Genomic DNA, 14,315 nt, shown 5'->3' on the forward strand with positions numbered 1-14,315 from the left:
AATAGCCTCCTTCTCCAAACCATTGTCAAAAACTATGGAGAGTCTGCACTGTTACTCTATATTCAGGCTAATGAGTTGGCCTGCCACAGCCTCATCGATGCTGGCAGAAGACATGAGCCCTGGGTCAGTACTCAGAACTTTATTCCTCAAGGCACGGCAAACAGCAGGAGTATCACGTTCGTCGCCATTCTTCTTGCCTCTCAAGTCCCACAGGGGTAACAAAACAGGCCCAAGTGGATGCTGCACATACAGAGAATCACAGCTGAAGAAGCTTAAGTTTAGAGAACTCTGATCTTTTATAATAGGCAGTAAGCAAACCTGTGTGACCTTTGCTCCAGAGAAGGAAATTATCTTTAACATGCTGGACAGGAAGCAAACCGGCTTGCTGCTTCAGTGGAAGACACTCTATTATCTAAGGCTGTTTGCTATACGAACATCCTTGTGAAGATAAAGGTAAGGAGTGTCTCTGTTTGGAGGACATGCAGAAACATGAGAGACCCATGGAGAGTTGTCTCCCAAATCCTTTTTCTAGAAGTAAGACATTAATCATGAAAGAATGTTGAGATGTTTCAACTATAATTACCTTTGGAAGGAGGAGTTCAAACTACGCATGTCCCATCCCCCTAACATTTTAATAACCCATTTTAATAACCTTTCCCAACCCACTCCTAGCCCTTTCCCCAAGCATATTATTTCCTTCCTGATAGTAAAATACCTGTGACACTTTCAATGTTTTTTCTTTTGTACTAGCCACAGACATATGAGTCAAGTCTAATGCTCAATCCCATAAAATTATGGCAATGCATATCAATAGTTTATTTACGTCTTCCTTTTTTCTTAGCCCCGATTTTTAATTTACTTTTTATAATATATTGCACATGTTCTGTATTATAAACTGCTTTAAATTATTTTGGGAAAGAAGCTGCTATATATATTTTAAATAAATGCCAAATAATGAAAAGATTGGATAGGCCAAAATAGTTGACTACATAAAAAAGTTTCAAAAACAGATAAATCACAACTAATCTCTCTAGAGGCAGTACAAAGCATTTTTTCATATTTATTCATTACATAGTTATTTGCCACACTTCTTTAAAATATTGGAAAGGTAAGAATAGACAACATCATAACAACGCATATAATTTAAAATTTCATATTATTTACTGGTAATAATAGCAATGTGTTTATTATATTTAAAAATATGAGAAATTTAAAGAAGAAAAATTAAATTATCCACAGCACCCCACCAGCCAGATATAAAACAAGGCTAACTTTTAAATGTAGTTCCATGCAATTTTTATATATAAATATATACATTACATAATCAAAATTGTGTATGTACAGATTACTTACTGTTTTTTTGTTTTGTGAGGGTATTCAAACTATGCTGATATTATTTAAAAATGTAAGTTTTGAAATGGCCTCATTTTTTTTCATCATATGGCCAAACTATAATTTACTAAATATTTTCCTATGGTTTACTATTTGTTTATAATTTTCCCAGTAAAAATTCTGTAGCATATTACCTTATACACAAATAGTTGTCCACATTTGTGATTATTTTCTTGGGACAGAGTGATGGTTAATTTTAGGTGTCAACTTGACTGAATTAAGGGATACCCAGAGAGTTGGTAAAGTAGCACTAATTGTCAATTCTTGCATTAAGTATCCTCAACGCTTCAGTAGGCACTGAGCCCATCCCCCTCTGCTGAAAGGGGAAACCAGGTGGTTTGGCATTTGATTAGAACATTAAGCCTGTCGCAGGTGTGTCTCTGAAGGCATTTCTGGAGGAGATTTCTGGAGGAGATTGGTATGTGAGTCAGTGGACTGAGCTGGGGAAGATTTGCCCACAACGTGGGTGGGCACCATCCAGTCAGCTGGGGTCCTGGATGGAACAAAAAGGTGGAGGAAGGGAGAATTCTCGCTCTCTAGAGTCGGGACACTCTTCTTCTCCTGTCTTTTGATATTAGAACTCCAGGTTCTTCTTTGGGTTTTACACTCTGGGACTCACATTAGTGGCCCCCAAGGGCTCTCAGACCTTGGGCCTCAGACTGACAGTTATACCAATGGCTTCCCTGGTTCTGAGGCGTTTGGACTTAGAGTAAGACATGCACTGGCTTCCCTGGTTCTCCAGCTTGCAGACAGCTTATCACGGGACTTCTCAGGCTCCATAATCAAATGAGCCAATTTCCCTAATAAATAGTTTCTCCTCTCTCTGTCTCTGTCTCTCTCTCTCTCTCTCTCTCTCTCTCTCGTGAAAGGAAAATAAAATCTAGGGACCCCGATTCACTATGCTAAAAGAAAAAAAATTAAGCCGAAAGCTGAGTCATGCAAGAAACTGCTAATCGGGAATTCTCTTGTTCCTAAGCTACAGATAAAACCTGCAGATAAAAGGCCAGATACCTCCACAGGTACTACTCTATCTTCACCTTATCTTATGTGAAGTGCTGGTTTACTGACCACGAGATGAATACATAATTGAATCTTTCCGTACTTGCTCATTTTCTCTTGTAACATGTGGATTCAGTAATATGACCATCACCTACCTCCCTCTTTCCCCTCCAGCCTTCTTTTCTCCTTTTAAATAATGAAGCCCTCAAAATTATCACTGGAGAAAGGCAAACACCACAGATTGTTTCTGTGATTTCTGTGTTCCTTTATCCAGGCATGTCCTTAAACCTTGGCAAAATGAACTTCTAAATTGATTGAGACCTGTCTCAGACACTTTTTGGTTTACACTACATTTATCTATCTATCTGTCTATCTATCTATCTATCTCTCTATCTTACTGGTTGTGTCTCTGGAGAACCCTGACTAAAATACACTCCTAGAAATGCAATAACTAGGTCAAATAACTAGGTTTAGACCTTTGAGGCACATTGGCAAGCTACTTTCTAGAAAAGTTGAATCAATTTACAATTCTGCCAACCACAAATAAGAGTGCCTGTTTTACCACAACCTGACCAGCATTGAGAATTATTTTTTATCTTGGATTAATAAATTAAAAATAAAATGTCAATGTTTTAATCATGTTTCTTTGTTATGAATGGGATTATTTTCAAATGCATTTTTTGGTCCTCTGTGGTGAACCATTTCATTGTCAATTTAGCCCCTTTGTTTTCCTATAAAGAATCATGGTTTTCTTATTGATTATATGAGATTATTATTCTTAAGCACATTTTGACTGTTACAGTTATGATTAACACTTCTTTTTAAAACAAAGTTTTCATTTTCTTTTGAAGTTTAATTTTTATGCTCAGAAATATGAGATGTATGCAGTCAAATATCTTACTACTTGTTTCATCGCTTTTATGATTTTAAATTTCTTGTCAATTCTGAAATCCCTTAAGTATTTTCCAGTATACTCTTCTAGTTTTGTGGGAGTTTTATAGTTAAATCTTTAATGCGTCCTAGGGCTAGACTCCAAAATGTTAAAACAGCAATGAATTATTTAACCAAACTCCCGGAACAGTACAGTAGAACCCAGCACTGGGAGGGCTGCAAAAAACTAATTGGGAATTCAAGTTCCTTTTTGCCCAGCACTGACTTCCACAGATATGAGCTTGACTTCTCCAGCTAGACCCTCGTCTGTCTCTGATGTTTAAGCATTATATCATCTAGAGTTTAAAAACTGCATTTGGTGGTAGGGCAGCACATGTGAACTGTGGTTTGGCCAAACATTCTCTAGTTATGTATCTAAATTTTGTCTTCTAACCATGTTTTCAGCCCCACTCCCAGTCTTCAACTTACACATAGCTAGAGGGACTGTCCCCTTACCCTCTCTTAGAGACAGCTCCTCCCCACCATGTTCTTTACTGAGGAATCTGCATCATGAGTAGTAGACTTCTCTACTAAATTTCTTATAGGTAGGTTGTGAGGACACTGCATTAGCACGCCTACTGTTGACTCCAGAGCCAAACTGGCTGGGCTTGAATTACATTTCCCTAATGCTGGAACTGTGTAAACTTGGGCAAGTACATTGATCTTTCATCTGATTATTGAGAGTTCTTCTGCAATGGGAATTCCACAAGGGAGACAAATATCACATGTCCTAGATCCATCCAAAGAGGTTCATCCACGAAACTTTTCACTAGACCGCCTTGTCACCAATCTGCAGATCCCGCTGTTGCCATAAATCTTCCTTATAATGCATCTAAATCATTAGCTATTGCTCATTAATTCGTATAGATTTGTACTTTAGTCCAATTTTCCTTCCAGAAAAGTGAATACCCAGATATACAGTCATCTTCCAAAGTACCTAGGCTTGTGTGTGTTGGGGTGGGGGGAGGTTATTTATTTTTTTATTTTTAGAAAGAGTCCCACTCTGACTCCCAGGCTGGAGGGCAGTGGCATGATCAGAGCTCATTGCAGCCTCAAACTCCTTGGCTCAAGCCATTCTCCTGCTGCAGCCTTAACAAGTAGCTGGGACGACAGACATGTGCCACCATGACTGGCTAAGTTTTAATTTTGTCTTTTTTTGCAGAGACAGGGTTTTACTATGTTGCCCAGGCTAGTCTCAAACTCCCAGCCTCAAAGTGTTGGGATTACAGGCATGAGCCACCGTGCCCGACGTAGGGTTGTGTTTCCAAAACTTTGATGTGCATACAGATCAGTTGAGATCTTGTTAAAATTAAGACTGATTCAGTAGCCGTTGGGATTCTACAATCCCACATTTCTTAAACATTTCCAGGCGATGCTGCTGTTGTTGCTGCTGGTCTAAGGCCAGTATTTTGAGCAGAAAGGGTCAAAGTTGCCCTTTCTTGTTCATCAGGTTCTTTCACCATGATGTCTTCTGGGATGGCAGGATTATCAAAGTCCCTCAGTCTTAACTAATAGAGCCAGAGAACTGATATAGCCCTGAAGCAATATGATGAAAGTATAAGGATATCCCTGCCTAAAAGTTAAATGAGTTAAAATTCATAGTATTATTTTGGGATTATAATTAGAATTATTTTAGGCTTATTGGTATGGGAAAGATACAGTCACCATATTAATAGCTATTTATCATATACTGGAGTCTTCAATGCAACAGCAGCTACAACTGAATTCACAGCCTGATTAAACATGTGATAACACAGCTCTTCTCTAAGTTCCACCAAATATTTGACAAGGTACTGTCACCTGATGTCCTCAAGATTAAGTATTGTTTTTGTTTGCTATTTTGTTAACTAATGGGAACCTAAGGGACTTCTACTTCATACTTTCTCTCATGTACTGACATGCTAATCCATATGTCAGAGAAATGGACAGGAATTTTATCAGATGTTGAAAAAAGTGTATTTTATACATAGAGGAACAGATAAAACAAACATAGAATAGCTTCATGGACTCACTTACTATAAGATAAACTTGGGCCAAAACTTCACTTACTGTCTGAATTCCATAAGCCTCCACTGTGAAGGGTATATTACAAGCAGCATTTTGAACTCACAGCAAATAGCTCCAAACCAGTGTTCCATAATCCTCCAAAAATATATATCCTTAACTAATCCTAACCCTAACCCTCTGTATATTCTGATCCTGGAAGCAGTTGCAGATCCCTTTATGGATGACTAGGTGGAAGATTTACTGAAGTCTCTGTCAATTGACACAGGTCTGAAGCCATAATTCAAGTCATAATAACTCAAGTCTGGCTTTTGTGCATCAGCCCTGGATTTCTTTTGGTTACACAGACTAAGACCTCAGAAGGCTATCCATCTATTTCAGTTCTAATAATCAGTCAGCCACCACAAGAGGCCTGCTGCATATTACAGTAACCACATCTACCTGATCCTTGAGGTTAAGGATCAACATCATTGATCTCATCATTCCCGTTGAAAATAGGGACCATATTTCAATGACAGCATCTCCTTTCATTCTAGCCTCAGAGAGCAGCACTACAGCACTTTTCTAGGCAACTGGCATTCCCCTTATCTAACGTACCTGTCTGTGTCTTGATGAAGAGTGTGTCTCCTGAGTCCTACTGGGGGACAGGATTGGAGGAGGACATAGTTATACATGATAAATCTACCCCATCTTCCTTGTCCTTAAAACACCTAAACATTTGTAGTTGTTATTTACATTAAAGCGAATAATGTCTGGTGTCTCATGTTGATTCAGCTTAAGCCACTGTTGAGTTCACTTTTGGTTTACCAGCTGAACAAGCAATTAAAATAATTTCTAGACCCTGAAACTTGAACACTAAATCCAAGATTCCTGGGAACTGTATTTACGTTCCACCCTATCTCATCAAGAATTCCCAGAAGCCATTCATACATGCTGCCTGGGCTTCATCCAATGTAAGTTAAAAAAAATGTTTCAGTCCTTTTATAACGTAAACCTTTTCCTTCTAGGTTTGTTTGTTGTTATTAGCTCTTTGGAATATGCTGCTATTTAGCTCTCACTATTTAACTGAGGATAAAGAGGGGCAGTAAAGTTAGCTCATGTGAAAACTTGGCATTCTCTTCCAGGCTAACTACCTTGAGTGAAGTCATAATAGAGGCCCTAAGCAAGGCAAGACTAGCCTCTCAAACAGAGGCTACTTTTATTAGGATAGGAAACTCAGAGGGACTCTGGGGTCTGAGATGCTCTGACTTACTGAAATCCTTTAAAATTTGGCCATCTCAAATCTCGGTGTCTCATTTTTTCCCAACCAAAGCCTTTATTTTTACATGAGACCTAACACGACGGTAACATCAACCAACCTTATAATTCATCAACTGCGGGGTCAGACGCTGTGGCTACAAGAAGTAACAGTCTCATTTAGGGCCAATATAAAAACTTCCTAGCTGTTTTTTACTTTGTCTTTGGCTCAGAATTTAAAATCCTCAGACAATTATTTTTTTCCCTTAAAGGTCTGCAGTACAATTATTAGTATAGGTGAACTTAAAACCTCACTGTAGTTTTTTTTCGCAATTATGCTCCTGCACCAAAACTTTAGTATGATGTTTCCATTCTATTGTTCTGTATTTTTTTTTCTATTGATCCAAGTAGTTTATTTCTTTTCTGTTTCTCCCAGTCTTTTTTTTTTTTTTTTTTTTTGAGATGGAGTTTCACTCTTATTGCCCAGGTTGGAGTGCAATGGCACAATCTCGGCTCACTGCAACCACCGCCTCCTGGATTCAAAGGATTCTCCTGCCTCAGTCTCCCAATAGCTGGGATTACAGGCGCACACCACCATGCCCAGCTAATTTTTGTATTTTTAGTAGAGATGGGGTTTCACCATGTTGGCCAGGCTGGTCTCAAACTCACGACCTCAGGTGATCTGCCTACCTCGACCTCCCAAAGTGCTGGGATTACCGGCACAAGCCAGCGTGCCCAGCCCTTTCTCCAGTCTTTAATTATGTTTGAATGCAGAGAAATCGATCTGGACTTAGATTTGCCAATAAATAGAGCACATGAATTCCCCCTTTGTTCTTACTCTGTATGTGGAATTTGATAAACCTAACTTCTCAGATATATAGTTAGAAAGCAGATGTAATCCATAGCTCCAACTTCACTTCCCATTGAATAGCAGTGTTTTATGTCATACAGCTCTTACCATCACTCTACCTTGTTCTCTATCATGCTGCAATGATGCTATACATTAAAAACTGCCATTTTCAACATATTCACTGCCATCAGGCCTCTTTCCTTGTTACCCATTGTATTTGTTCTCATGTTGATAATAAAGACATACCCAATACTGGTTAATTTATAAAGGAAAGAGATTTAATTGACTCACAGTTCCACATGGCTGGGGAGGCCTTAGAGAACTTACAATCATGGCGGAAGGGGAAGCAAACACGTTCTTTTTCACATGGTGGCAGAAAGGAGAAGTCCTTGGCAAAAGGGGAAAAGGCCCTTATAAAACCATCAGATAGCCTGAGAACTCACTCACTATCACGAGAGGAGCAGCATGGGGGTAACTGTCCCCATGAGTCAATGACCTCCTACCATGTCCCTCCCACAATACATGGGGATTATGGGAATTATAATTCCAGATGAGATTTGAGTGGAAACACAGCCAAACCATACCACCCTTTTATACAAACTTTCTGTAACAACCTGTAGTTAATCACCACCCCTACTCCACCTCCAATTTCTGCCATGTTTTCTTGGACTAAGTCACTCACTACATGAGCAAATAAAAGTAAATAAAATACTTTTTTTTTTTTACCCATGTAGTAGGAAATAAAATATTCCAGCCACTTCAAACAGAAACTCCACCAAGCTGGCCAGTTTTACAGTTAGTATAGAATATGGTTCTCTCATGCTATAGACCAGCACTGTCCATATAGAATGTGAGCCACAAATGCAAGCCACATATGTAGTTTTACATTTTCTGGTAGCCACATTTAAAATGTGCTCAATAGTCACATGTGACTGGTGGCTGCAGTATTAGACTGCAGGTCCTGACAGTCAGGGAGAGACATAAAAGTCTCCATTCCTGTGTTCATCTACCTACGGGTGACTCTTTTTGGTGGGTGAAGCATAAGTGAACTGCCAACTGTTTTTCCTAATTCTGTGCCTTCTCCCTTATGGTTACTAAAATTTCTGCCCATCCTCTGGAAATGGGTTTGATTATCCATTTAATTTTCTGTGGTGATATTATGTGTTATCTTTATCTGTATAGTTATAAGTGTTTTGTTGAAAATTGGGAGATGCATACCCAGACATAATTTTAAACCCTGTTAGATAAATTTTAAGCTTTTTTCCATTAGTATATCAGCAGCTGAGAAAAAATATACTCTGTATAATAAGTTCAAAGTCTAATGCATGATAAGGATTCATAGTAGCAAGAAATCTCTTCCATAACTTTTGTGTTTATAACAAATGTGTGTGTGTGGACAGGTTTCTAAGTAGTTGCTCTCATTTTTATTTTCTCTTTGTAGAGACAATGCGCAGTCATGCATCTGAAGGTTTTGCAGGAAGCTGAAAAATGTTCCCATTCTCTGCATTTGTTTACCAAACACTCTGCTTCACAGAAAACTAAACAATCGTGAAGTTTCTGTTTCAAAAAGTGGCTATTTTTCAGGAATGTGAATAGCTTAGAAAGACAAATCCTGTTTTTTTAAATGTTCAAGACTAAATAACCCTTCTTTACATTAAGTGGACAAAATTCATCCTTGAAATTTCCATTTTATTTGAAGTTGACACCTTCCTTTTCAAGAGACAAAATCAATAATTTTTTTCAGTTATAAGAATTTCTATTAAAATGAGCAAAATCTCAAAATGCAGAGAACTTGTGATATAATTAAAATAGGAATGTCAAAACCTGAGATTCTTGCAATGTAAAAATCCATTAATTCCTAATATTGTAATTATTATAAAAAATTCAAACTATAAAATTCCAATAGTTATAGCCTTACTATGAATTAATTGAAAACTACTAACACCAACTAAACATATATTTAACATTTTAATAACTCAGTTTAGTGTTCTTTTGAAAATAGATTTAATAGATTAAACAAAGTTAGCTGAATTGACTACATTATTGGTAGCCCATACATAAATCGACATAGATATTATACATAAAAAATACTTATTTTTTAAAGTGAAAAACCATTAGTAACATTAAAATATGGTTATATTGTATACTTGCTTCATCCAGATGTAAAGCCAAAAAAGGACCTTGATTATTTGGGGGAGGAGAAAACTTGGGAAAAACTATTTATTTTTTAAGTTTTTAATAACACTATGCTAAAACTTCATATGGGACAGATATACAGAATATAGTCAATGTCTTCCATTAATTTAGTGATGCTTGACTTTAATTTTGTAAGCAATTAGACATGTAAACCAAAAAATAGTGTTAGCTGTAGTTTAAAATCTACTAGTAGTAGCCAACATTTATGATCCAACATAATTGTTGGATCTAGTTGTTGGCTACTAGATCCAACTACTAGTAGTTGGCTACTAGTAGTAGCCAACATTTGTGATCTATAGGAAGTATTCTAAATGGTTTTCATACATGTATTAATTTCTCAATAACCTTATTCCAAGCACACCTATTAGTCCCATTTTACAGAGGAAGAAACTGAGAGTTTATGTAATAAAAGAAGTTAGGTGAACTGACACCTTCTGACACTGAATGAAAGCATCCTTCCTATTAAATAATATTTAATCAGAAAATGGTTACAATAAATGATCAATAGCTAGGAATAAAGACAAAAAAGTATGTGTTCTCAAAGAGTAGATATACTAATAATTAAACGGAGGTTGTGAATTAAGCAATTACTTCTGATGAGTACAATCAGTAATAACAAACCAGGCAAATCTTATGAAAGTCTTATGAAAAGTTTGCAGGGCAGCAGCCCGCAGTTTTTCCTTTAACTTACGAAAGCCAAAAGTCAGTGGTGGGAAACATCTGGAACCAAACAAAAGACCTAATCTTTCTGTATGCAAGGGGCTTAATTTTTCATGAGAAACGATCTATTGTGAATAGAGGTAGCCTAGAAAGAACCTAAGATCTTGCCACTGGTACAAGAGTCCCTATAGTAAAGAAATGTTTAATGGCTCTTTCATTCCTTTTCTCTTTTATAAGTGTTCCTTCAGCACTTGATTTTGTTATGAATGTGGATTTGTCTATAATGTTGTTTGTTTTAAATTGCTCCAATTGTTATATACTATTCAGTTTGGACTTCTTGGAATTCTAAATATGTAAATTGCATTCCAAACAAACAGCAATACATCATTCACAGAGTAAAATCTCTACATGGAGAATGAGATTAACTCATTTTAGTGAGAGATAAGTTCATTAGGACACTTTGAAGGTTGTGGAATGTCTGGAGTTAAATGTATTTTCAAGTATTTTGAATTCAACCATTTAATTTAATTTAACTCAGTGCATATTTATTGAATAACTCCTATAAACAAGACATTCTGAGGATACATATAGTTACAAGTCACAAACATTAAGAAATTCAAGACTACAAAGTAGATGTGTCTGTTATTAAGTATAACAGAAGAAATAATGTAGTTAGTTCTCTGAACATAGAGGAGGGATAAATCAATTAGTATTAGGGGACTGAAGGGAGTTCATGCTTGGAACTGCAGCAGCCATTTTGTGACTGCAAAGGAGATATTACTGGCACACTTGAGAATAGCAGAGCAGAAGATAAGCAAGGGCCTGTGGGTCTTTGAAGACATCCTTGAGCTGCTAACCAATCCAGCCACTGCCTACCCCTGAATTTCTTGATTAGGAAGATGAAAAACTTGATTAAGATAATGCCATTTTTAGTCCGTCATTCAGTTCTTGCAGCTGAAATCACCCTACCTTTGGTGTTAGGGATCTGTTGGCTGGGCTATAACAATGGGTTGAACAAAGCTTGGGGGTTGTAATAAGAATAGAAAGGTGGGACCAAATGCAAAAAGAATAGAGAGGAATCTGCAACTTCAAACATTGTGGTTTGGAGAGAAGGAAGAGACAAACACATCTAAGTTTTAAGGTCTGATTGACTGTATGCATGACTGATATCAATAGGAATATGAGAAAAGGAATAGGTTTGGGAGCAGAAAGTAATAAATATAGTTTTGATGTTGAGATACAAAACAAAAAAAGTCTCTTATTAATTTTGCTAAATACTTTTGAAATAAATCATACAGTAGTTTATGATGAAATAAAATGGTAATATTTCCAATGGAGTTAAGTATGCCTTATTTACTCCATACTGAAGTGAAATTTATCCAAAGTTGAGTTTGACAGTGCAAAGAAAACACTGGCTACTTCTTATTGGCTGAAAAAAGGTAGATTGAATAAACATATTAATCTCTGTTTTCTCCTGAAACTTGATTAAATTGAGAGCAAAGCATAAACAAGCATCTAAATCTACAAGGGCAAAGAGAATGGACACCCTCTCTCAGTAGGCTACTGGAGCATGTTAACCAACACAATAAGGAAATGGCTCAGGAGGACGATGTGGGGCTCTGGAATCAGGGAACTGGACACAGGAAAGGGGTGAAGGAAATTCCTAGAATGGTGATGAAGGAAACCCTAGGATGACAACAACCAGCCTAACGAGCAGCAGCCGGTACCACCTGGAACAAAAGGTGCCAAGCAGGAGAAACTTATCTGAGGAAAAAGAGATCTTTTTAAAAAGGTAGATTTATCTGTCCTCTCATTTTCTGCTCACATGACTAGCTCTTTCTTGATCACAATCTAACTTCTGAGGAGGCTAGGAGTCTTCCCATGTACCCAGGAAGAAGAGAAGAACTAATGTGGTAAGCACCAGTAATCTTTACCAGGGTTTCCAAAGCTGAATAATCAAGTTACAGCCTTATGAGCTTAGATGGAAATATGGAGGTAGCTAGCAGGAGAATAAGCCAGGAGTTGAAGGAGATTGGTCTGGGGCCTTGGAATCAGCAGTAGGGAAAAAAGAAACCAGAAATTTCTGTAGAATTTATTGTAATAGCCTACCAAAGTGATGTGATCTTTTAAACGCATAATGTTACAGCAGTCACCTCTGCTGAAACCTGTATTCAATAAATTCTAACTCTCCACTCAGCTGCCACTAAGTCTAGTGATTCAGCTTAAATGCTGATCTCCCCTCCCTGGGCTAAATCTTAGTAAAGTAGACTAAACAATGGAGAACACAGCTCAGGGATACAGGAAGGATTTGCTCTCTGAAAACAGCTCAGCCACAGTCTCCCTTGGTGTGGTGACAAAAAACCACTTTAAGCACTTTAAATCTCTATTCAAAACTATCACTTACCTATTTTATCACAGTATTCTGGCCGGTGTAAATACGCCTGGAAAGCAAATCAGCACCAGTTTGAGTTGGATGATACTCTACTAAGTCATTGCTAGATTCTTGGGAATATAAGAAAACCAAATTTTACACAATTAAATGTTAAATTACACATGAACAAAGTCTGTTTGACTTTTTAAAAGAAATAAATAACACTTGGAAAGTTGTTCTCATCTGTGAAAGTATATTAAAAGGCTGTCAAAAAGAAAAATGGAGGATTTCAAATATAAATATTATCTACTGATACTATTTTGCCAAATAGATATTGAAAATTATAGAGGTAGAATGCACCTGAAGAGTCAACCAGTCCAACTCTCTTGATTTATAGATCAAGAGGCCCAGGGAGGAAAAGTGACTTGTTTGAAACACAAAACTATTTATGGAAAAGCAGGGAAGAAAACCCAGGCTACCTGTCAATCGATTGTCAATCTGCATGAAATGCTGGCTGCAATGGCCCAACCTATACGCTATTGCTGAGCTGGAGAATAGGACTCCTGACAAAAAGGGCTCACAAAGGTGGACATTTCAACCAGGCAGCAGGTGAAGTGCAGAACAAGTGCTGCGTTAATGCACCGCATACAATGCAACTGGGACTTGTGTGTCAGGAGGAAACTTCACAGGGTTTTCAAAAGGAGTAAAGTGCTTGGGAGCTTGTTTTAAAGGGTCAGAAAGCTCCTGCCTATTTTCTGTTCCTTTCATGTGCACAGTAAAAGAACAGAAGTATTCTATTTCCGCTGTAGGTTTTTCAGTGTGAGACCAAGAAAGCTATTGATGCGAAACTGCTCTTTGGTGACATCGTGCTTCAACAAGTCATCCCCAGTGCAACCCAGGATGATGGCCATTTGCACTTCCTTTTTAGGCATCTGACATCAGCTTCAAGAAGTCTCTCCCCATATGTAAGTTTCAAGTGTTGCCTGTAGACAGGTTTTAATAAAGGAAGTCAGCAGTTACAATGTATGTGTATACTTTACACTCCTTTTCCAACATACCCACTTCAAGCCTAACTCTAGACCTTGGATTTCTCCCTCCCTCTGTGTCCTAAAGCATAGAAAAAAAAAAAAAAGCATTCATCTTTGTTATGTATCAGAAGGTTCGTTGCCCTTGTCTACCAGTTTCCTTTTCATTCAATAAATAATTGTGTGTTCTGATATTTGCCTTAAATTTCCTGGTTTTTGGGAATGTTTCATTGTTAAGGGTTTCCCTTCACTTCCGAGGCAAATGAGCTTACCTTAGTCCATTAAGATTGTCATTTTGTCTAAGGACCATGGGCAAAGTCTGACAGGTAGTGTTTCAGTCTTATCTCTGTCTGATCAGAAGAGGAAGTCTTGCTAGTCCCTCTTTAGTCTGAAACTGATTATTGTCCTCACAACTACACAAAAGGAGCTGCAGTTCTTTCCACACCTGAAGGCATTTGAAGTGCAATCTGCATGGTACTTACAAACTCTGCTAAAAGGAACGGTTGACTATTTTCCTAATCTGCCTGTTTGCATTCATAGGCATTAAGAATGCACAGTAAACAAGCTAAAGTGCAGACGCTTTCACAGGTTTCTGTTGGACAATAACAACCACCGGTAACGAAGAGGACAAGAATCTGTTTACAAATGTGTA

General features: G+C 37.6%; 1 annotated feature.

Moving 5' to 3' along the window:
• Window positions 13,321-13,380: an enhancer, noted in NCBI's record as "active region_25000". NCBI's record gives its function as "activates an Ori minimal core promoter by ATAC-STARR-seq in GM12878 lymphoblastoid cells {active_cell/tissue: GM12878}" and the evidence as "EXISTENCE:reporter gene assay evidence [ECO:0000049][PMID:35858748]".

Source organism: Homo sapiens, chromosome 6 (genome assembly GCF_000001405.40).
Source record: "Homo sapiens chromosome 6, GRCh38.p14 Primary Assembly".
NCBI classification, from domain to species: Eukaryota; Metazoa; Chordata; class Mammalia; order Primates; family Hominidae; genus Homo; species Homo sapiens.